Raw genomic sequence first — 24,389 nt, 5'->3', positions numbered from 1 at the left:
AGACATTTGGAAACCATCAGCCAGCAAATGATGTCTAAAGCCATGGGACAGGAGGAAATCGCCCAGGGAGTGAATGCAACAGGAAAGAGAAGAGGTCAGGGACTGAGCTCCAAGGCTGATCTCAATGGCAGAGTAGTCTCCATTTCTCCAGCTGTAATTGCTCCAAATTCATATTTAAAACCAGAGCCTCATCTCTGTTCCTTAGAGCAAATCAGGGCCCTCTGTAACATCCCACAAGCCCTAGGATCCCTACTCTTCCAGGAGTAGATCTATGCCCATCAACTACTGGTTTCCTCTCAGATCTGTCCCCACCCTTTTCTGATCTCAGTATCTCAGGGAACTCCATTTCCTAGGCTCCCTCCCGCTCTAGCTTTCTAGCATTCAGCCAATGAAAGGCATCTGTAGAAGACTGGAGGGTGCCAGAGGAGAAGCCAGGGTACTTCTTCCCCTCTCTCACTATGACAGTGGCTGAGTCTGTGGCAGTGGTTATGCTTCTCCAGAACTCCAGCTCCTGCTAGCTCGCCCCCAGCTGGCAGCCCCCACTGAGACTCTGGCTCCCACTTGATGGCCTCCGTTTCTGGGCTTTGGTGACACCACCTCCTCCCACTGTCCTAATGTCCCTTAGGGTAGTAGCAGCTTCCAGCTGTTGCTAATCTCTAGCAGCTGCCTCACAGTCCTGTTTGGCTTCTCAGTGCTTCCATCACCAATCCCTGCATTCAATTCCCTCTGTTCCAAAGACCTAGAATGGTTTCTGTCTTCCTGGCTGGCCCCTGACTGATTCAGAGCCCTTTGGCAAAATGTCAGCAGCAGGTGTTTGTTACATGCAATTGGCTCCTCTTCGCTTTGTCCCTGCTCTTTTGTGCAGCAGGAGAAGAGAGACACTCTAGACCACCCAGGCTGTGGCCTGGAGGAAAACAACTTTCACATTTAGGGCAACTAAAAACAGTGCCCCTATCACACATCAGTCAATGAGCCTATGTTATGTCTCATGTCACACTATCTCCACCTTGCCTGGATTTTAACCATTTTATTCCTCCCTAGAGGTGGGTTCATGCAGTGTAGAGGAAAGAATCTAAGAAACCTTGTCTCCAACATTTACTGGGCATGCCGCTTTACTGTTCTGAGCCCAGTTTCCTTACATCTATAAAATTAATGTCAGGATTTCTTTGTTGTAGAGCTGTAAGATTTGATGTGATAATGTATATGAAAGCTTCAAGTGGCTGGTATATAATAGACTCAAAACATGTATTTCTTCTCCAAGGTGGTCCCCAACCTGCTCAATACTCATTCTTCATTCATTAATTCATCTCTCACTCATTCACTAATTTATAAGCATTTATTATACATCTATTATGTACCAAGAAATACTGTGGGGAATACACAGAAGAGTCAGACACAGTGCTGCCTTCAGGGAGTTCAGTCTCCTGGGGGTATTAAACACATCTATCATGACTCTAACACAGATAGAAAGAGGCACAAGAAAAATACCAACTGGGCCTATAAGAACTGAGAGAAAGAAAACTTATGGAGGACCAGCAAAGATCCTATGAAGGGGTTCTTAACTATTTATTTATTTGAGACAGTCTTGCTTTGTTGCACAGGCTGGAATATAGTGGCACAGTCTCAGATCACTGCAACCTCCACCTCCTGGGTTCAAGTGATTCTCATACCTCAGCATCCCAAGTAGCTGGGATTATAGGTATGCGCTATCATGCCTGGCTAATTTTTGTATTTTTAGTAGAGATTGGGTTTTGCCATGTTGGCCAGTCTGGTCTCAAACTCCTGCCCTCAAGTGATCCACCCGCCTCAGCCTCCCAAAGTTCTGGGATGACAGGCATGAGCCAACGTGCCCAGCCTTAACCATTTTTTATTTTCCATGGATCCCATAGGCAATCTGGTGAAGCCTGTGATCCTTCTTCAAACAATATTTTAAAATGCAGAAAATAAAATCCATAGAATTAAACAGAATCAACTACTTTGAAATAAATATATCAAAATACTAAACAAAAATCTGTAAAGTAGAAATGTAACAGCGTCTTTATCAATGTATTAAACAGCGAGATCACTACTCTTACGGCCATTTTTTTTTTTTTTTTTTTTTTTGAGACTTAGTCTCACTCTGCTGCCCAGGCTGGAGTACAGTGGCACAATCTCAGCTCACTGCAACCTCCTCCTCCCGGGTTCAAGTAATTCTCATGCCTCAGCCTCCTCAGTACCTGGGATTATTGGCGCCCACCACCACACCCAGCTAATTTTTGTATTTTGAGTAGAGATGGGGTTTCACCATGTTGGCCAGGCTGGTCTTGAACTCCTGACCTCAAGTGATCCACCTGCCTTGGCCTCCCAAAGTGCTGGGATTACAGACATGAGCCACCATGCCCAGTAGGGCCATTATTAAGTAAAATAAGTTTATATGAACACAAGCACTGAAATACCAGGGAGTGGATCTGATAACCCAGGTGGATACTAGGCATCTAATGGGCAGGTAGCATCTACAGCATGGAGATGCCAGACTAAGGGATGATTCATGTCCTGTGGGAGATGGAACAAGACAGCGTGAGATTTTATCACGCTTGTCAGAATGGTGCCCAATTTAAAACTTATGGATTGTTTTTTCTGGAATTTCCATTTAATATTTTTGAACTATGGTTGACTTTGAGTAACTGAAACTGTGGATAAGGGGCTATCCTGTAATTGTTTTTTCTATTCTCATTCACAAACCTCAGATTTATCCACAGACCCATGGGAGTCCATGGACCCCAGTTTAAGAAGCTCTGCCATGGAGTGGACTATTACCCAGTTATCAAGAACCTGAACTTGGACAGCCTGGCTTCCAATCCAGGCTCCAGCACTCACTTATTCTGTGACCTCTCAGAGCAACAGTCTCTTTATCTGGAGAAAGGGAGACAGCCCAACATGTCCCCTCTGTCGTGAGGGTTAGAGGGGAGCTGTCTGCAGATCCCTTAGCACAGTGCTAGGAACCTGGTATGTGCTCAGTGGGTTCTTGTTCTAGTAACATGAAAATCAATCATATCCAGCTGGCCTGTGCTGTGAACCAGGTTCTAGGCACAGAAGTGTCATCCTGTCTCTGTTTTCCACAAGGCGGTGAGAATGCTTCAGCTACTTCATGACTCCGAGAGATGATTTCCTCATTCTGAAGGACCAGCCTCCATGAGCAGAGAGGGAGAGAGCTACAGGAACATGCTGGTCAAAGGGTGGGGCTAGATGAGGAGTAACAAATGCAGGGACTGGCCAGCCCCAAATATTTGCTCCCAGGGGCTTACATGTGACTCCTACATGGGTGGACACCCAGGCAGGGCCTGCAAAGAAGTGGAGATGATTGATGAGATCTGATGTTGGAATTACAGGTATGTTTCCCCCTTTTTGAATGTTTCTTCAACAGTCCTTACTGCCCCCTGCCCCACTCTCTGCAGAATGAAGTCTGTTCTTCTTAGGGAGACATTTAAGGCTTTCTTTTGATCTAGGCCCTGCCTGCCTTTCCTACTCCATCTTGCAAATCTCCCTGGCACGCACTCTCTACTTCTGCAAAAGGAAACTTTTAGGATGTCCCAGCACACCCCCAGGATTACCTGCTCTGGGCTTTTACTCACATCAGTCTCTCTGCCTGAGCATCCTCTTCCCTCCCCAGTCCACATCCTTCTCAGCCCATCCAGAAGACCCCTTTCAGGAATCTCCTGGCTGTCATCTGAGCTCCCAGCTCTGCCTGCTAGGGTCCTGACTTCTCTCTACATTACCCTAATCTACAACTATTCACATGTCCTGGCCCAAGTGAACACCCTTGGAAGAAGTGTCCACGAGTGCCTCAGATCTCCAATCACTCCCCACAGGGTGCCACACCCAGGAGACGCTCAGGAAAGGATGAATAAAGGGACCACCAGGCCCAAAACTTCTCCAAAGGGCCCTAAAAGGCCAGGCACCTGCTGGCTCTGCAAGTCCAGGCATTCCTCCATCCAAGGGGCCTCTTGACCATCCATTAATTTACTCACTCCTTCACAAATATTTACTGTGAGCTGACTGTGCCAGGCTCTGTTCTTGAGAACACAGCAAGTGAAAAAAACAGGTTAGGGTCCTGGAACTTACCTTCCAATGAAGGGAGGAAATAAGTAAACAAAAGAAAACTGCAGAATATATGGTATGTCGGACAGTTGCAAGTTCTCTGGAGACAAGAAAAAATAGAGAAGGGGGAGAGGGAGTCCCAGGGTACTCTCTTAAATAGATAGTTAAGGAAGGTAGTTAAGGAAGCCTTGCTGAGAAAGTGACAAATATGTGAGCAAAGTAAAGGAGGTAAGGGAGACAGCCATTCAGAGATCTGCAGGAGAAGCATTTCAGACAGATGAAGCAGTCTGTGAGTTTCTTGTTGCCGATGTAAAAAAATTACCACAGACTTAGTGGCTTAAAACAACAGAAATGTATTTTCTCACAGCTCTGGAGGCCAGATGTCTGAAATGAGTCTTCCAGAGCTAAAATCCAGGTATCAGCGAGGTTCCCTCGGCAGACTCCAGAGGAAAAGCCACTCCTTGCCTTTTCCAGCCTCTAGTGGCTGCTGGCATCCCCTGGCATGCCTTGGTTTGTGGCTACATCGTTACAATTTCTGCTGCTGTCATCACATGGACTTCTCTTCCGTAGTCAAATCTCCCTCTGCCTCCCTCTTATAAGGATGCTTGTGTTGACGTTGGGCCCTCCCACATAATCTAGGATAATCTCCCCATCTCAAGATGCGAATCTGCGAAATCCCTTCTGCCTTATAAGGGAACATTCACAGGTTCCAGGGTGACGGAGGTTAGAGCGGGCAGGACCTTAGCCTTGGTCAGGGTTAACACTAGCTGCTGCATCACTAAGTCCTCCAAAATCTCAGCGGCTTAACAGGGTATCTCTTCTCAGTTCCCAGCTCAGAAACTCTCAGATCCTCCAGGCCTCAAAGTGCTCCATGGGGTCTTCCATATTCATTTGACAAATAGAGGAAAGAAACAGCAGGGATCTCTCCAGAAATTTTAGGCCCCAGGCCTGGAAGGGATGGACATCATTTCTATCTACTTCCCAGTACTATCTACTTCCCAGCTATTCATATGCCCCACATAGATACAAGGACAATAGGAAATATGGTCTTCCTTTGTGCCCATGAAAAAAATGACATGGCTTGGTAAACCCATAGCCTTTTCTTTGCCACAGCCCTGTAGGACATTGCAAGAATTTCAACTTTTACTTAAGGGAAATGGGAACCCTCAGAAAATGTTGAGCAGAAGAGTGACACGCTTTGACTTAAAGTTTTTTGAAAAAACACACTGCCATGGAAATGTTCCCTGTCTTGATTGTGGTGGTGTGAACTTGAAGGTTTACATTTGTCAAAACTCATTAAATTGTACACTTCAAACTGGTGAATTTTATTTTATGTAAATTACACCTCAATACAGCTGATTTTTTAAGAAAAGGACCACACGGACTGCTATTTTGAGAATAAATGGGGTTTGGGTGCAAGAATAAAATCAATGGGACTAGTTGGCAGGCTATCGCTATAATCTTGGCCCAAGGTGGTAGTCGTGAGGGTGGCAGGAAGTTGGGTTTAGAGTACGGTTTGCAGGTAGAAGCAAACAGGATTTGCTGACATACAGATATAGGGAACAGAGTTAAGGCACAGGCTGTAGGCTCAGGCTTCCCAGGACTGAACTGTGTCTCCACCACTTATGATCTTGGGCAAATGGCTTAATATTACTTAAGCCTTTCCAGTACCCCGAGCTAGTCATATGCCCCCTCATAGATACGTAGATACAGATTTCTCTGTGAAGCAGGGATAATAGTAACAACTTCATAACATTGTTGGGAGGTTAAAATGAGAAAATGTATGAAAAATACTGAGCACAGGCCCTGGCATAAATTGAGGACTTGGTACATTTCAGTAGAGGCAATAGCTACCCTGGACTGAGTGATTACAACAAGCCAAACCATGTGTACGTTCTTTACATTTCTCTTCCCATGATGTGATGGCCAAAGAGCTGGTCTCCATGTTTTTCTGGTCCAGAACTGGAGTGACCACAGCTAGAGACTTTACTGACCAGAACCTGGGGTCAGAGTTCCCAGCTCAGACCTCACAAGATCCCTTTCAGAGAAAGCACCCCCAGAGAGCAGACCTGCTAAAACGACAGGAATAATTCAGGCCTGCCACTCCCACAGTGAGGGCCAGAGCACTTCCTTGTAGGAAAAACACAGTTTTACAACAAACTCTTACAGTTTTTTTGTTTTATTTTGTTTTGTTTTTGAGACAGAGTCTTGCTCTGTCACCCAGGCTGGAGTGCAATGGCACGATCTTGGCCCGCTGCAACCTCTGCCTCCCGAGTTCAAGTCATTCTCCTGCCTCAGCCTCCTGAGGCGCCACCATGCCCAGCTAATTTTTGTATTTTTAGTAAAGACGGGGTTTCACCATGTTGGTCAGGCTGGTCTTGAACTCCTGACCTCATGATCCACTCGCCTCGGCCTCCCAAAGTGCTGGGATTACAGGCATGAGCCACTGCGCCCGGCCAATGTTTTTTTTTTTAAAAGAAAAAACCTACAGGAGGCAGTGGGAACTTGTCACTTCAATTGCTTGAGCAAGACCCTCTCTCTCTTTGTTTCTTAGCAATTCCTAGATTCTCTGGAAATCACTAAGGGAGAGAGGCAGGAATTAGCATTCTCTGAACGCCAGCTAAGTTCCAGGACCTAAATAAGATGCTTTCACAAATCACAGGCAACCTCAGAAGAGCCCTACGTGATAAATAATCACAATTCCCATTGTCTGGCAAGGAAGCCAAAGTTCAGAGAGGGTAGGTGACTTGCCCAAGCTCACTCAGCTGGTAAGCTGTAAGGGTGGAATTTGCATTTTATGGGGAGCCGTGATTTACTCAAAGTGATGCAATAAACGGCAAGTCAGTACAGGGGTTGGGAGCACAGACCCTGGAACCACATTGCCTAGGTTTGCAGCCCAGCTCCACCTCTGACTGGTTGCAGGGACCTGTGCAAGTTATTTAACCGCCATGTGCCTCAGTTTCTTCATCTGTAAAATGGGAATAATAATAATATTGGTTCCTAATTATTATGGATTAATTTTATGTGTCAGCTTGACTGGGCTAAGGAAGAACCAGACAGCTGGTAAAACCTTCTTTCTGGGTGTGTCTGTGAGGGTGCTTCTGGAACAGATTAGATTTGAATCAATGGTCTGAGTATAGAAGATCCACCCTCACCAGTGTGGGCGGACAGCCCAATGAGGGCCCCAACAGAACACAAATAGACAGAGGAAGGGCAAATTTGCTCTCTCACTTTACGTTCTCCTGCCTTTGGACATCAGAACTCCAGTTTCTCAGGCCTTTAGACTCCGGGACTTACACAAGCATGCGCATGAACACATACACACACATATACACATATACACGCACATACACACACTTACAGACACATACACACACAGACACATACACACAGAGGGCACACACATACATATACACACACATACACACACGCATACATATACACACACATACATATACACACACATACACACACGCATACATATACACACACATACATATACACACACATACATATACACATACACACACAGACACACACATATATATACACACACACATACACACACACATACACACACATATACACACACATACACACACACATATACACACACATACACACACATACACACACATACACACACACACACACACACACACACACACACACACACACACTGGTGGTTCTCGGGCATTCAGCCTCAGACTGAGAGTTATATTGAAACCGCCTTTGCAAAATTATGACCGAGACAGTGAAAGAGATCTGACCTAACCGACTTCATCTTGGTTCTAACCTTTAAGCTGTCCTTGTTCCTTCCTGGGCACAGGCTGAACTAACTTTGGGAGGAACTTAGTTTATACTTTATAGTTTAAAACAAAGATGATAACAGCCCTTTCCCAAAACAAACCTCCTTCTTGCCTGGGGACTAGACTGCCTTTGTAGGACTAACAAATTAGCCACGAGATTAGAAATGATGGTTTAGGAGTCATGCAGCTGGAGGCCAAGATTCTGATCCTCCCTAAACTGCTCCTGAAACCAGTGCTTGAGATATTTTGCAGACCCTGCACTTGATGGATCAGGTGGCACCACCCAGATAGATAAACTGGATCATCTGCTCTTGTGGCCTACACCCAGGAACCAACTCAATGCAAGAGGTCAGCTTCAATTCCCTATGATTTCATCTCCTAACTAACCAATCAGTACTCCTGGCTCACTGGCTTCCCCCTACCCACCAAGTGGTCCTTAAAACTCTGATCCCCAAATGCTCGAGGAGACTGATTTGAGTAATAGTAAAACTCCAATCTCCTGCACAGCCAGCTCTGCGTGAATTACTCTATCTCTATTGCAATTCCCCTGCCTTGAGAAATCCGCTGTGTCTAGGCAGTGGGCAAGGTAAACTCACTGGGCGGTTACAAAACCACTGGCTCCCCTGTTTCTCAGGCCTTCGGACTTGGACTGAATGCACCAGCAGCTTTCCTGGTGCTCCAGCTTGCAGACAGCAGATCATGGGACGCCTTGGCCTCCATAATCACGTGAGGCAATGCCCATAATAAATCTCCTCTTATACACCTCTGTATATAGCCTATTGGTCCTGTTTCTCTGGAGAACCCTAACTAGAACACTACTTGTATTAGTTCGTTCTCATGCTCCTGATAAAGACATACCCGAGACTGGGTAGTTTTTAAGGAAAAAGAGGTTTAATGGATTTACAGTTCCACATGGCTGGGGAGTCCTCACAATCATGGTGGAAGGTGAAAGGCACATCTCACATGGCAGCAGACAAGAGAAGAGAGCTTGTACAGGGAAACGTCCTTTTATAAAACCATCATATCTCATGAGACTTATTCACTATCACAAGAACAGCATGGGAAAGACCTGCCCCGCCATGATTCAGTTACCTCCCACAGGGTCCCTCCCACAACACATGGGAATTCAAGATGAGATTTGGGTGGGGACACAGCCAAACCATATCACTACTTTTCAGGATCATTGTTAGGATTAAAGGAGTTAAAAGATAAATAAAGAGCTAAGAAGGCATGTGGCATATGGTGAGATTTATGTAAGAATTAACTCATTATTATTGATTATGGCAGGCCCTCATGCCAGTGCTCAGCCCAGCACAATAACATAAGGAACAAGAAGAGAATCATAAAGTTTCTCATTGGAAGAGCCTAGAATAGGAGTTAGTAAATTATGCCCCCTGCACCATATCTGGCCATTTGTCTGCTTTTATAAATAAAGTTTTAATGAGACACTGCAACAGTCATTTGTTTGTGTATTGCCTGTGTCTGCTTTTGCTCTACAACAGTAGAGTTGAGTAGCTGGGACTGAGACTGTGTGGCCTGCAAAGTCTAAACCACTTACTTTCTGGCCCTTTATAGAAGAAGTTTGCTGGTGCCCCTAGGAGATAGCTAGTCCAATGCCTTATCAGCTATATCATCACCACAGCTGGTCTTGATGGAATAACTCCAGGGATAGAGAGTGTTCTCCCTTCTGAGATAGCCCAGCCAAGTTTCAGATAACTCTAACGTTTAGAAGATTCTTCTTTAAATTGATGTCATCTACCTTCCTGTAACTTAAAATCATAGGATATTAAGAGATCCAACCTTTCACAAAGGGAGTAGAGAAACTTGCCTAAGGCACTCAGTAACAGACTTCAGAGCTAGGATTTCAACTCACTTCTCACCGTTAGACGATAGATTCCTCACATCACAGAGGTAAGTCTGGAAACCAGTTCTGAGTCACTAAAACAAAGTCACTCCATGTACTGCTTCCCAAGACAGAGAAGTATGTAATATATTTAAGAAAAACCTTTACCCTCCAAAACTATTTTAAGTTTACAGTTTCAGTGTTCATAGGAGTAAAACTTCTGCTATGGGTAATCTCAAGAATGACTCACTTTTTTTTATAAAATAAAAGACTTGTTTTTTAGAAGGATGGAGGGGGCAGATAAATAGAGTAATTGGCAGCCAGGGCTGAGAGGTCAGACAGACCTGGTTTTCCATCCTGGCTCCACCACATAATAAACATGAGAAGGTAGATTCTCTGAGCCTCAGTTTTGTCACCTGTAAATGGGAGCCACAATGGTACCGATCTTCACCAGACTATTGTGACAGTGTGATGATATAACACAGGTAATGCACCTAGCACAGTCCTGGCACTATGCATCTGCTCAATAGGTATTTGCCCTTATTATAACTGAACATGTGCTATATGGCTTTCTCTTGCCTGCCTTCTCCCTTCCTTCCCTTCTCCCAAGTTGGCATAAAAATTATTTTCCGTTCCTTGCCTCCAATTAGATATTGATTAGAGTATCTGATTGAGAATGAGCACTTAATAGAAGTAAATAAGTTCTGACATTTTATTTTTACTCTTGAATAAAAATGCTCACCATCCTCCTGAAAATGAGCCATCACATTTTATTTAACAGCAGAAAAGATTTGTACATTTGGCCCTGCAGGAGCTGAGGAATCTATTTTCATTATAACAAACATTGATTTTGCATTAAAAAGTCTCATTATTTGAGGTAATGACTGCTGGGCTCCTTAGTTATTCTTTTGGTTCCTAAATCATTAAAACTCCAACATTTAAAGAGCAAGTGGGTCCACAGTGACTCCCAAATTATCGCCAATGAGTCGCTCCCTGTGTGCCCTAGTCACGGACAAGATTCAGGAGCAGTGCAGACCCCAAAGCACACGTAGTGAAGTCCAGTTCTTTCTCTTGCAGTTTCAGAATTCTAAATTCCAAACGGACTTGTTTTTCTTTTACGACCATTTTACAAAATGAAAAGAGAAGGAAAAAAAACCCTCTAGTCTCTGTGTTTATGTGCAATCAGTTCTTTGAACAAATTCTAATCTTAAAAGAACTGGAAAGGAAGAAAGCAGCGTTCATCCCCAGGACTGGGAGTTGGTGGCATATTGGGTGATCATGGCGGTGGCAGAGGTGCCTGGTAGGCCTGCCTTCCACCAGCAGCAGATAAATTATTGACTTCAGGAATATTCCTCAGTGGATGGTTTTCCACTGTTACACTCTCTCTGATACAGGGCATTTATGCTGCCTGAGACCCGGCTGGACCCCTCATTGGCAAGCCACTTGTGACATAACTGAGTTTTGCAGAATTTCAACCACATGCACCAATTTGGGTAATGTATTCTTTCAGATGCCAGGACTGAGCTTTAAACAAAACATAATCCTGCCTGCATATCAATTTCCCAGGACTGTGAGGAGGAAAAGGAAAAAAAAAAAAAAAACCCAGAACCACGATGTTTTCAGCTGCTGCATTTCCATTTGAGGGTTAGCAGTGGGGACATCTGAACAGTATGCACAGTCTCCTGGTTCATTAGGAGGAGCACAAGGAAGGAAAGGGGGAACGGTGGGGAGTGAATCATAAAATATGAAAGGACTTCCCTGGAAATTGGCATCAATGTGATTTATTCAATCCAGACCTACACTCGACTATTTAAAAATAATTGAATAGTTGATACCCACTGCCACTTGTAAGTGACGGGAACATGGGCCAGGAGTGGAATGAAGGAAGGTGCTGGGAGGAATTTGAGATGTCCCAGATCTCAGCCCTACCCAGCCTTCTGAAAGAGGAAAAAGAATTCTCCCCGGACCCCGCCCTAACCACCAGTCACTTCTTGTGGGATGCTCCTCATTCCATTCCTGTCCACGCAGACGCGAGTTTCTGTAGAGTTGTAACCACCATATGTAAGCAATTTTGCATCCTACCATCTATATTTGGCATTGTGTTTGAAGCATTTTCTCTTTGTAAAAATCATTGGTTTTAAAAACATTACATAAGCAATATATGCTTATGGTAACAAATGCAAACTATGCAGAAATATATGATATAAAAAAGGGAACATTGCCCCTCCCCAATAGACACCCATTCCTTAAGATTGCCACTATTAACAGTTTAAGGCTCATCCTCCAGACATTTTTCTGTATCTATAAACACACACACACACACACACACACATATATGTATACTTTAAGACATTTTTACCAAAAAAAAAAAAAATTATGTTTTGCAACTTTTTTCTGTAAAAATGTTGTGAAAATATTTCATGTCAGTATATACAGAGACCCACTTCTACCTTTTGGTCTACTTTATACATTCCATTGCTTATTTCACTTATCCCTCATTGCCAGGCGATTAGAATATTTCCAATGTTTATCACACACCGTGCCACCATACATCCCTATACATACATCTGTGCAAATGTTTCTGTAGAATTGATTCCCAGAAGTGAGAGTGCAGATCTGAGCATGTGACCTACAAGTGTTTTCCACGTTGTTTCAGGCATCCCAATTATCACTTTTAGTATCTGCAGAACCACCTTTTGAATCCAACTTAGCTGACTCGCATAGCGGAAGGGAAAACAAATCTGTTTAAAGCTCTCCTATCTGCAACTTCCTTCCTATAGAAAAAAAAATAACTTGGCGAGCCCCTGAGGGTGTAAATATAAAGTGTCCACTCTAGGAAGTGGTCTGGAAAGAGACGGCAAAACTAAGAGAGGGTTGAATTGTGTGTAGAATGTGGAGTTTCCTGAAAGATCTGGGAGAAATGGATGTGTGGGGAGTTTATGGAAAGAGAATACCAGCAATATGGCAGAAAACTTAGGGTCCTATGAAAGAATTCCAACAGCAGGAACTTCCCCAGCATGGGTTTTGGCTGAGGGGTTTTTATATAGGGCCCGGATATAGGATCTTCACTTAAGAAATGTGATTTGAACTGCGCATAATCAATGGTGTTCTGGTGGGGGTTGAAGAACCAACTCTAGGGAAGGGGCTGAAAGACCTTGATGTGCAGCATTTGCTGATTTCCGTGATATAAATACTCATCCCATGGCACGAGTCTGCTGGAGGGTACTGAATGCCCCACCACTGTCCTATAAACCATTGATAAAAGTCTACTCAACCCAACATCCCTGGACCAGTGGACTCCCCGAGCAGAGGAAATCAGGTAGGGTCCAGCTTGGAGTGAAGAGATCAGCAAGTGAGGACAGGTGCTACAGGATCCAGAAGGGAGCTGGGCAGCCAGCTGCAGTGAAGACTGAGAAAAGGATGGGAAGCCTCCCTTGAGAATACTTAGGGGCTTCCACTGTGTGGAAAGGGCTTGAGTTACCTCTTTCAAATGTGAAGGAATTACCCCAAAGGCCTGGAAGATGTGGGGACCCCTGGTGTCCCATTTGGGGCGACTCTAGTGTTGCACACTTGAGCCTCTTGCACTGGCTAATGCTGGGATGAACTCTTTAGCTTGCACCCAAGACTCTACAAGCTAATCCTCAGCTCCTTCTCCACCCTACCCTTCCTCTTCCTGCCTGCACATTCTCTGTTCCACGACACCACAGTCCTTGCCAGTCCCCAGATACACGCTGCATGCACCCAACTGCAGGCTTTGCCCAGCCCTTCCCTCTTCCTAAACCACCCTTTCCCTCCATTTGGGCTAACCACCGCTATATCCATTCATCAAGGCCCAGTTCAAATACTCTCTCCCCAACAAGCCTTCTCAGGCAGAATCTGTCTCCCTCTCCCCTGAAGCCCCACAGTCTTTTGTTTAAATGGTTTCCATACCATTAGTTAATGGTCTCCCCACAGTCCAGAGAGCTCCACTGAGGAGGAGTCCTAGAATTCACTGTCTCCCTGTCCTCAGACAGCACAGTGGTTTCCACAAAGCTGATCTTAAGTCACCATCTAAGAAGCCTGTTATACACTCTGAGCCCTACCCCAGCATCTGACATCTATGTGATGGACCCCTGAAAGGTAAAAGAATTGTTCTTATCACAGAGGGAAAGAAGCTGGGCTCAGAGAGGCTTACCACCTTGCTTTGTCATCCAGCAGCAATGCTAGAGCTCAGGTCTTGCCCTTAAGTTCAGCCTTGTATTCTATCTGTCCGAAGGAGGAGGGATCTGCAAATGATCTATCCCAGGTGCTTCCCACCTGGGGCCTCAGCCTCCTGGGGATTTGCAGGTTTATTTAGAGGAGACCTCGCTTTCATTTGCACACAAAGGAGAGATGAGGAAATCCATGTCTCCGCCTCTTTTTTGTTTTGTTTTTGTAGTTTTGGGGTTTGGGGTTGTGTTGTTGTTGTTTGTTTGTTGTTTTTGTTTTTTACATTAAAAGAGGAACCACTGAGGAGTCCATCCCACATTTTACTGATGGTGAAACTGAGGCTCAGAGAGGGTCAAGGACTTGGTCAAAGTCACACAGTGAATGTGCACGCTTTGTCCTGTGTCAACTTAGCAAAGCTGGAACTACATGTCCCAGAATTTCCTGCACAGTTCTGGGTTAGGGGTGGCCACAAGAGAAATTTGTGTGAGATTTGGAAGGCAGAAGTGGAGCAGCAGCTTCATTTGCACTCAAGGTCTATGTGGGTTTGGGTGATTCTCAGCTCATGCGTGTGCAGCCCACCTGCTGGCTCACCTTGTTAGCTTGCGATCTTGGGGTGGCAACCCCAGATCGATCTCCTCTTTCAGCTTCTCCAAACTCGGGGCCTGGCTTGTGTGCAGCTTTGTGGTGAAGCGGGCTAGTTCTTCTGCAGATCACCCATATCATCAGTTGGAGGCTTAGAGGCAGTGGGAGGCCACCCAGGTGCCAGTGAGAAGCAGATGCCATCCCAGCAAGCCCTCAACTGGTGACGCTCCTCCTTTTGTGTTCAGGCCATTCTTTTGGGTTCTGCCTTGTCCTTGCTCACTTCCTCTTCCTGTCCATCTTCTCTTGCTGACCGCCAGCCCTGCTGACTCCAGGTCTGGAGCAGACACGTGAATACAGGCTGACACCGCTGCCTAGCAGCTCCCATGATCAGGAAAAGCCTTGCCCCGAGCATAAAGCCCTCGGATCACACACGTTCTGCTTCTCTGATAGAACTCTGATAGAACAGTGACCTCCTGCAGAATCAACAGCCTGAGGCTCCTGCCCCTGCTCTGGACTCCTTGCCACTCTCAAGAGGCTAGCATGATGACCTGAGTCCGAGGCCCCAGGCCCCAGGCCCTCCCCAGTGAGATCACTGCCTCCATCACAGGGCTGAGGCTCTCAGGTCTCCCCCAGCCCAGTGGCCAAGGGAGAGATATGTCTGGCCTGTCCCCCAGCTGTCCCCCAGCATGGTCCCTGCAGGCTCCAGGGACCCCAGTCCTTCCTCTCCTCATATAGCCCCCACCAGACTGCGGGGCAGACATCTCATCCTGGCTCCATATCTTCCCCCACCAGGCTGGGGTTTTTGAAGGCTATTTATTTCTCCTGGTCCCCAAGCCCATAACCTCTGAGCTGCCTTGGATGCCTGCTGTCCCAGGGACTCTATAAATAATCAGACAGTAAAGATGTCACACCACCAGCTTGGGCCACTGCCCAAGCAAGCCTGTGGCTGGCCCTTCCTCACGGGCATCTCCACCCGCACACTGAGCTGGGACTTATTACTGCTCGCCCCATATAGGGTTCCTGCAATCTACGGCAGGACAGTCTCCACACTTCAGCACTGAGCAGGGATTTCAGGATCAACTGTTTTCTCCTGTCCTCACCAGGCCCTTCCTTCCTCTGGAAGGTCCCAGGTAGCCCAGGAGACTCTCCCTTTTTGGAAGCTACTTCAGAGGAAAAGGTGACAGTAACACTGTGGAAATAGATGGATCTGGATTCCAGTGTCTCGACTACCACTTGCTAATTCTGGGACCTTGCAGAAGTCGCATCACCTCTCTGGGCTTTAGGTACCTCATTTATAAAATGAGGATATTAAGATGAGCCTCATAGGAATGTTGTGAGGATTAAATAAGGTGCTATATGAAAGCACATAGCCCAGGCTCTGGGCATGTTATAAATGGATGCCATCTTCTTATTATTCTTGTTATTTTTTTTTTATCACTATGGCCACCAAATTGCATGCTCCATGAGGATGAAGACTGTGCCTGACTTGTTTTCTCACTCCCTAGTACAGTGCCTGTCACATAATAGCACTCAATACCTATTTGTTAAATGAACGAAGGACTATAATAATGCTGACTGATTAGGGCCAGTGTATGTTTAAAGTACCCAGGACTGGAGAACATTTGGAGATTTCAGTAGGTGAGGTTGCTAGAACATTTTTTGTCAAGTGTGACCATCTGTGTTCTCTTAAAGTTTTTCTTTTGCCACCTGCCAACTACTGCCCCACAGGCAGTAACTGCGCTGGAATTCACCCATGGGGCAAGGACTTCCACACCTGCCAGCAGTGCAGAGCCAAGCAACACCTTGCTCCGGATGCTGCACCTATAATTAGGGCAGCTTTGACCCACAGCCCCGCTCTCCTTCAGGGCAGAATGCAAACAGGGTCCAGCCCAATCAAAAGGTACACCCTATTAATATCACCCATGTAACAGATGAGGAAACTGAGGAACAGAAGGATTACGTAAACTTGTCTAAGGTCACATGGCTAGTTAGCGCTGAAAGTAGGATTCAAACCCACCTATTGCTTATCATATACAGATCATATGCAGATCTTATATACTCTGTAAGGTAGCTATTAATATCTTCATATACAGATAAGGAAGCTGAGGCTCAAGGAGGGTTAGTAACTTGCCCAAAGCCACGCAGCTAGTACAGTAATCTTATATAGCATATGAGCATTTGATTCCAAAATTGGTACATCAGGCAAAAGTTGCATAGAGTTCAAATTTCTCTTCAATTCCTTGAAATCGGCTCCCTGGCTTTCTTTGTATATAACCTAGTACAGTCATTTTTACCTAAACACCCTTGAGTTTGAGAGCAGATGAGCTGAACTGAAGGAAGGACAAGAAGGAAAGTTTAGGCTGGGTGCGGTGGTTCATGCCTGTAATCCCAGGACTTTGGGAGACCAAAGCAGGCAGATCACCGAAGCAGGTCGGAAGTTTGAGATCAGCCTGACCAACATGGAGAAACCCCGTCTCTACTAAAAATACAAAATTAGCCTGGTGTGGTGCCGCATGCCTATAATCCCAGCTACTCAGGAGGCTGAGGCAGGAGAATCGCTTGAACCCAGGAAGCGGAGGTTGCGATGAGCCAAGATCATACCATTGCACTCCAGCCTGGGCGACAGAGAGAGACTCCATCTCAAAAAAAAAAAAAAAAAGGAAAGCCTGGGAGAAGGCATCAGGACATAGGAACACAACATCATTCAACTGCTTCAGCCTTTCAATCATGATTAGCCCCCTGGCACACATGAAGCAGGGGAGGAGATGTGAAGCATTCCTACCAGGCTCACTTAATTGAAATTTAATGTTAGTGCCCACTGGTCTTAATATATATGAATAGATGTCATTGTTAAGCCGATTAAATGTGTAACATATGTAAAAGCACCTGCACAGTGATGGGCCTAGAGTAGGTGCTCAATATATGTGTGCTAAATTTGAATCTACAATCATTCATTCATTCAGTACGTATCGAATTTCTACTAGGGGCCAGGCCTCAGGGGAACAGCAGAGAACAAGACGGACAAGATACCTGTCCTTATGGAGCCAACATTCCAGTCGAGGAAACACACAATGAGCAAGAAAACTAGTAGGTACACAATAAAATGTCAGGTAGTGATGGGAAGAAAAATAAAATGGATGGGGGAAAGAGAGTAGTGGGGCGGCTCTTAGATAGGGCAGGGAGGGCCTCTCTGAGGAGGTGGCATCAGAGCCAAGAACTGGTCTGGCCCAGACAAACCGCCCACATGTGGACACCATTGTCCGAAAAGTACAAAACCTGGTCATCTGCTCCCTGCCTTTCCAAATTCACATTTTATTTTGTGGCCTCCACTGAACAGCCATCACTGCCATGCCCTTAGGCATTGGGCTCATGACCCCTTACAGTGGGAGGGGAGGGGTAAGGAGGGGCTGCTAATGTGATTCCTCTGTAAAAGGTGAATCAAGCTCATGCCCATCCACCTGACACCAGGGCACTGGGTCTCTGTACCACGACACAGCTTCGGTGCTAGAAAAAATCCAGCTGTAGCTGTGGAGACAAGACAAAGCAATGACTTGAACCAGAATATTGATTCTAGAATCTCATGATGCCTCTGATCCTGAGGGTTCTGGAGCCAGGAAGGGTCCTGAGACACACCTAGCACTTCACATTCACTAAGTCATGCGTGATCATCAAATCATTTGATTAATTCCCTTACTCTTACAGGTAGGCAGACTGAGGTCCAGAGGCCATGGGACTCTCCGCAAACCACAGAGCATCAGCGGTGACAGAGATAAGAACTCAGCTCTCCCAACTCCCAGTCTGGTGCTCTTTATACCAAAAGTCCACCTTCCAGTTCACGGGTAATCAAAAACTTTCGTTTGGTCTGGGGTCGTTTCAACAGCAGATGTGCTCGTCTCTGTGCAGGACCTGCCTCCCAGGGGAATACGGTAGTGCTGAGAAGAGGGTGTGGACGGACTAAGGGCTGAAGAAGTCCTGGAGACGGGGTGGCGATGGTGAGTGTGCTTGCTGAGCCCAGGAGACGGACCGCAGCACCGGGCACTCGGGTGGGGTCCAGAGGAGAGGAGCCTCCTGCAGGGACAGCAAAGCTGACGAGAGGACAACATAAAGCCACTTCTGTCTTTACCTCGCATTGCCTTTGCACCACATCCATTTGGGTACGGTGCAAAGCTTCTCCCGTTTTATTCCTAAGTCTGAAACCGCCTAGCGGGAGGAGGGAGAGGAGTGTTCTTTCATTCTCTAAGGGCCTCCCGTGTGCCGTATGCTGGGAACTTCTCCTTTCTCATTTTATTTCCTTCACGCAACAACCTTGTGAGACGGTGATTCTCATCCCTGTATTACAGATGGGGCTCGGAGCTCAGTGTGGGGGCAGCTTGCGCAGCAGCCCCCTCCACCCTCTCGCCCCAGGTCACCACTCAGTGGTGCAGCTGAGATTCCAGCCAAGGCCTGCAGAGCAGAAGCCTGTGCTCTCTGAGGCGTGGTCTCCCACGCGGCCAGCTGGAGGGCTCCTCCGGAAGGGTTTCCAGGGAGGCCATGAGGGCTGTCTAGATTGATAGCGAGTTCCCCACATCCTGTAACCCCTCCCTGCCAGGCCTGTGCCCGCCGCTCTGGCTGCAGGCAGGGAGCGAGGCTGGGCGCTAATTTACACTTGTTTAACTACAGCTGCCGCCCTCCCGCCATGTGTCTGTCCGCCATTTATTGCGCTTTCCAAAGCCCTGCCCGGCACTCAGGGGCATTTCCTGCCTGCGCTAATGGAGGAGAATAGACGCATTATATGTGAATAATGGATTATGATGATACAATTTGGGTCTCTTAGCTCTCACCGAGCCTAGGCTGGCCTTGCATTATTGATAACTTACACACACCTTCCCGAGCGTGTTTATGTAAATATTTAATAGGGAAAGCAAGTTAATCCATTGGTTTCAGCCATTTCCAGAGCACTAGAAGTAAGGGCCATGAGGGGTGACTTGGGGGGCCCCCAGCAGGAGTTAGTTCTCTTTGGAAAAGCCGGGAAGTTGCCAAGATGCTCACTTGGCCACAAGGAGTGTATGGCCTTGAGGTTTGGGGTTTTCCAAGAGCTGAAACAAAAGGGTAGGGCTACCTCACTGTGGGAGATCACCTCCGGTCAAGAAGACGAGTTGTCCAACACAGGCAGAGCAGGGTGAGGATGTTGGGATGAGGGGTGCAGATTACTGGAATGCAGCTGTGGTGGACGTCACCACTGAATAAATCGAACCATTGCTTCCTATCTTACATGGCCGATTTCCTGTGCTTCCCCATGGCTTCCGCATTTCACACTCCATTGCATGTTGGAAGGCAATGCTTTAGAGACTGCCTGGGTTTCACCCTGGGCTCCACCACATGCCCACTGGACGGCAAGTTAGTTAATCTCTCTGTGCACTGGTTGTCACATCTGTAAAATGGGGAACTAATTTATTTGTCTCATAGGTACCCATTGTTGGTGCAAGAATGCAGTGAGATAATATATCTGAAGTCCTTTTACAGTGCTAGGCAATACTACCTATTACCATATAAGCCACAACTGGAAAGATGCACATGCTTTCACATGGGTCTTCATGCCATGGCACACATTAGCCGGCAGTGTTTCTGAGTGGTGTAGAAAATAGTTGTGCATCCCAGACACAATGAAATATGGTTATTTTGCTAATATCCTGTTTCTGGCAATTAAACTACTGTGTATCCTTTGGGAAATCACGAGGGTGGGCATGTGCCCCATCTGCTTATGCAGAGGGTGGAGGACCAGGCAGAATCAGGAGATCTGAGCTGGCCTCCCTCTGCACCCCACCCCAGGCACCTGCCTCCTCTCCAGCTTATCTCCCCCATCCCCTTCCCGGGTTGCCATTGACAACCTGCCATTCTCAGAGCATGCTTCTGAGCTGCCGAGCCTTCGCACCTGCTGGCTCCTCCACCTGAATGTCCTTCTCTCTGTCCTCTTCCTGGAAACCCCAGCTGCCTCAGGATATGGTTCAGTCATCACCTCCTTCATCCAGCCTTCTCTACCTCTTTGTCTTAACATTGAAATGGCCAGCGTGTTCTTCTACCTGCCTGCCAGACATGCAGGCCCAAGGTACCAGGAGGCAGATGCTGACAGATGCATCTCAGTATGCCCGGCACCTCCACCACACAAGGGCTGTGCTGGTTGCTGTGGGAATGCTGCAGGGCACAAAACGGATAATGCTGGAGGGAGAAGACAGCAAACACAAGGCTCAAGAAACTCCAGTATGTAAGAAGAGGACATGCACAATGGAAGAGGGAAGCCACCATGCAGAATGTCGGGGTGCACTTTTAAATGGGACAGTCAAGGTAAGCCTCACAGCAAAGGTGACCTCTGAGCAGAGGTCTGAGGGAGGTGAGGAATGAGAAGAGTGAACAGCCAGTATGAAGATCCAAGGTGGGAGTGTGCCCCTGGTGTGTTCACGGAAAGCACCAAGGTAGGCGTGGCTGGCACAGAGTAAGAGAGGGAGGTCTTAGCAAGCGGGGAGGTTCAGGTAGTACAGGGCCTTGTGGCCTTGGCAAAGACTTTGCCTCTTGGAGGATTATAAGCAGGTGTGACTGGGTCTAGTGTTTGTGTTTTAAAGGGATCATCCTGGCAGCTATGTAGAGCATTACTATAGGGGTCAAGTACCGCAGCAGGGACAGCAATTAGTAGGCTACTGCAAGAGTCCAGGTAAGATGTGATGGTGCCTTATGCTAGGGTGGTGGGAGTGGGGGAGGTGATGGGGGATGGCTAGGTGCTGAGGTTCTAACAGAGGTGGAAGGTGGAGCTGTCCGGGTTTCCTGATGGTTTAGGTATTTGAAGTGAAAGAAATAGCAGAATCAAGGATGACTCCAAGGTGTCACCAGAAGGATGGAGCCATCATTAACCAAGTGGGGAAGACTGTAGGGGCGGTGGGGAACAGGTTTGCAGAGGGGAAGATGAGGAATTCCATTTGAGATGCATTATTAGACATATTAGATCTGATATATCTATTAAACACCCAAGGGGAGAGTTTGAATGGGCAACTGCTTGTAGGAGTCTGGAGTTCTGGGAAGAGGGTCGAGGCTAGCATTAGAAATGTGGAAGCCATCAGCATACAGATGGATGAGCTCACAAGGGAGAGAGTGTAAGGAAGAAAGACATGGAGGCCTGAGCCCAGGGCGCTGCAAGGAGTAAGGTGGGGAGGGAGGAGAACCAGCAAAGGATGCAGGAAGAAGTGCCCATGGTGAAGGAGGAATACCCACTTGTTGAAACTTCAGTGTGTTGGCGCTGTAATAAACAATTATGATAAAATAGCCACCATTAATTGAGTACTTACTCTTTGTTAGACACTTCACATATAGTTTTCCCTTTGATCCTAAGATTTGGGAGTTCTCATTCCCATTTTACAGATAAAGAAACTGAGGCTCAGAAAGGTAAATCTGCCTGACCAATGTTTCACAGCTAGTTATGGCAGCACAGCAAAAAACCCAAGCTTCAAGTCAGCCCAACTAACATTTTTTGACCATCTGCTGGGAGCTGAGTGCTCTTGATAGACATTATCCTATTTAACACTCTCAATACCCTTGCAAAAATAGATGTCATTTCTACCCATTTTACAGATGAGGAAACTGAGGCTTGGCGTCTCATTGAGTGACCTACCCAAAAGTTACCCAAGGAGAAATGGGCTCGCAGAGATTTGAATCCTGGTCTCCGGCCTTCCTTTAGACACTTGGGGTGCTCCCAAGTCTGCATTTGGAGAGGGGAACAGCATTAAAGTATCAGCTGGAGCTTCTCAGCTTGAAATCCTAGGCCTCTTCCAGAGGCCAGATGTTCGGATGGTACCAAGGGGCTCTCCGCTGAGTCCTAGGCTGGGAGCAGAGAGGGAGGGGACTCTGTTACCAAATCCCAGGCTGGGCACTCCCAGGGAGTCCCTTCCTCCCCACCTGCATGGCATCTGGCCTCCGCCAGCTCCTGCCTGGCTGCCAGATATACCAGCTGTGGCTCCTCTCCACGGAGAGTCTCATTTATTAATTAACGTGGACGCCAAGGGGGCAACTTCTCAGGCCCAGCCTCAGAGCAGATCTTGGCACATTTTTCAGACTTTGTTTAATAATTTATCATCTTTTAATCATAAAAATAATTAGCACAAGAGTGATAATCTATGCTCTGCCGAGAGCAGACCAACGGAGGAATTTTCAGACAGTGCCAGAACCCAGAGAGCAGAGCTTTGGCAGCGAGGAGAGGAAGGTTGGCTCCAGGCCAGGTGTCCTCTCCAGGACTGGCCCCTGGGAGTCAGGTGTCAAAGATGCCGTCTGGCTTTTGGGGGAACTCGAGGACCGTGCTGCTTTCCTGGGAATTTGAGGCTCCTGCTCCTAACTCTGACTTGGCTCACTGGATAGCTCTCTGGGAAGTTCCTTCTCTGGGTCTTAATTTTCCCACCTGTAAAATGGGAGTTCAATTAGATAATGAGTAAGGACACTTTTGTTCAAGGCGCCATGATCCAATGAGATAGCAAATGTAGAAGCAGTGGCTGTGGCAGTAAAGACAGTGAGCTGGAGTGCCCATGAGAGCCACGAAGCCTTCCACAGTCCCCGCCACCTCCCACCCCGCCAGCTTCTGCATCCCCAGGTGCTCAAAGAGCCCTGGGACAGACTCAGTTCTGCCAGGTATAAGCCGTGTGGCCTGGGGCAAGTCCATCTCCTCTCTGAGCCTCAGTTTACCCATCTGAAAAGAAAGAGTGATCGCTCATGTCCTGCAGCTCTCCCAGAGAAGATCCAAGGGAGAGGATGACAGGGTTACCCCTTGGAGACATTGATCTCATTCTGCCCCACATTTAACTGCCACTCCCTGTCCAGACTTTCGGTTCTAGAGGGCAGGGCAGGACTGCCTCATCCTCTGTGCCTGATAGCCCTGGTAGTGACCGAATGAGCTCAATGTTCTGCCAATTCCAGCAAGGTGTCTTGAGATTGTTCAACCTGTGCAGGCAGACACATCCTCCCACCAGGGCGGCAGCACGGTCCGGTGACTGTGGGTAAAACCACAGCAGTTCAAGAAAGCAACTCCTCCTCTTCTTGTGGGGTCTTGTACAAGCTGCTTTGCCTCCAGCTGCCTCAGTCTCTTCATGTGAAATTGGGGATATCTGTCTTAGATTGGGGGTCCCCTGAAGCAGACCTAGAGACAAGAATTCAAGATCAAGTCATTTATTTAAGAAGAGATCCTGGAAGTTCCAGTAGGGAGTGGAGAAGTGAGACTGGGAAGGGGAGGAGAGCAATGAAAGGCGCGTGAATGAGCTGGTGACCACGCTGGACCCAGGCCTACTGGGGCCATCTCAAGGGTTGGCAAACTACAGCCCACAGGCCAAATCAGGCCTGCCTCCTGAATTTGTAAATAAAGTTTTATTGGAACACAGCCATGCCCACTCATGTCTGTATTATCTGTGGCTGATTTTCTGCCACAATGACAGAGTTAAATGGTTGCAACAGACACCATATGGTCCTCCAAGCCTAAAATATTGACTCTCTGGCCCTTTGCCAACAAACTTCCCCAGCCTCTGGTCTAGGACATAGCGTAGAACTGACCTCAGAGCTGTCTCCTTTGAAGGAGAGGAAGCTGGACTCTTTATGCTTCCACCCCAGTCCATTGCTGACTGTTCCCAGGGGCCCTAACACCTACCCCCCTACACATACACTTCCAGTGCCAGGGAAGCACACTCTGGCAGCCAGAGGAACCCTAAGGAAGAGTCATGGCAGGTATGGGGCAGTGAGTGCCCAGGGGAAGTTGGAGACTGGGGCATCCAGGGCCGCTGCTGCAAGATCTCACTAAACTGTTAGGAGGACTAGATCAGATCATAGTTGGAAGTACCAAGAACAGGGAGTGCCCTCTAATACTCCACACCTTCCATCATCACCACCAG

At 47.0% G+C, this 24,389-nt stretch overlaps 2 long non-coding RNA genes across 6 annotated transcripts in view; one reads left to right on the top strand and one right to left on the bottom strand.

The window, feature by feature from the left end:
- Positions 1-13,677: 13,677 nt before the first annotated feature.
- LOC105378654 (uncharacterized) overlaps positions 13,678-24,389 on the bottom strand; it is a 77,745-nt gene continuing 67,033 nt past the window's right edge. For 2 of the 5 annotated variants that reach the window (XR_001737985.1, XR_001737986.1), the window contains exons 4-5: positions 20,411-23,647; positions 19,823-19,909 (exon numbers count right to left, since the gene is read on the bottom strand). This is a non-coding gene — a long non-coding RNA (uncharacterized LOC105378654). Of the gene's footprint in view, positions 19,910-20,410; positions 23,648-24,389 lie in introns of all 5 variants that reach the window. The other 3 variants (XR_001737987.2, XR_002958294.2, XR_007065894.1) reach the window with 3 other exon arrangements.
- LINC01343 (long intergenic non-protein coding RNA 1343) lies at positions 18,151-23,884 on the top strand. Its single transcript, NR_038928.1, has 4 exons — positions 18,151-18,201; positions 20,467-20,820; positions 21,096-21,184; positions 22,096-23,884. It is a non-coding gene; the product is annotated as a long intergenic non-protein coding RNA 1343 (long non-coding RNA).

Source organism: Homo sapiens, chromosome 1 (assembly GCF_000001405.40).
Source record: "Homo sapiens chromosome 1, GRCh38.p14 Primary Assembly".
Classification (NCBI taxonomy): Eukaryota; Metazoa; Chordata; class Mammalia; order Primates; family Hominidae; genus Homo; species Homo sapiens.
This window is presented reverse-complemented; position numbering and strand designations above follow the sequence as displayed.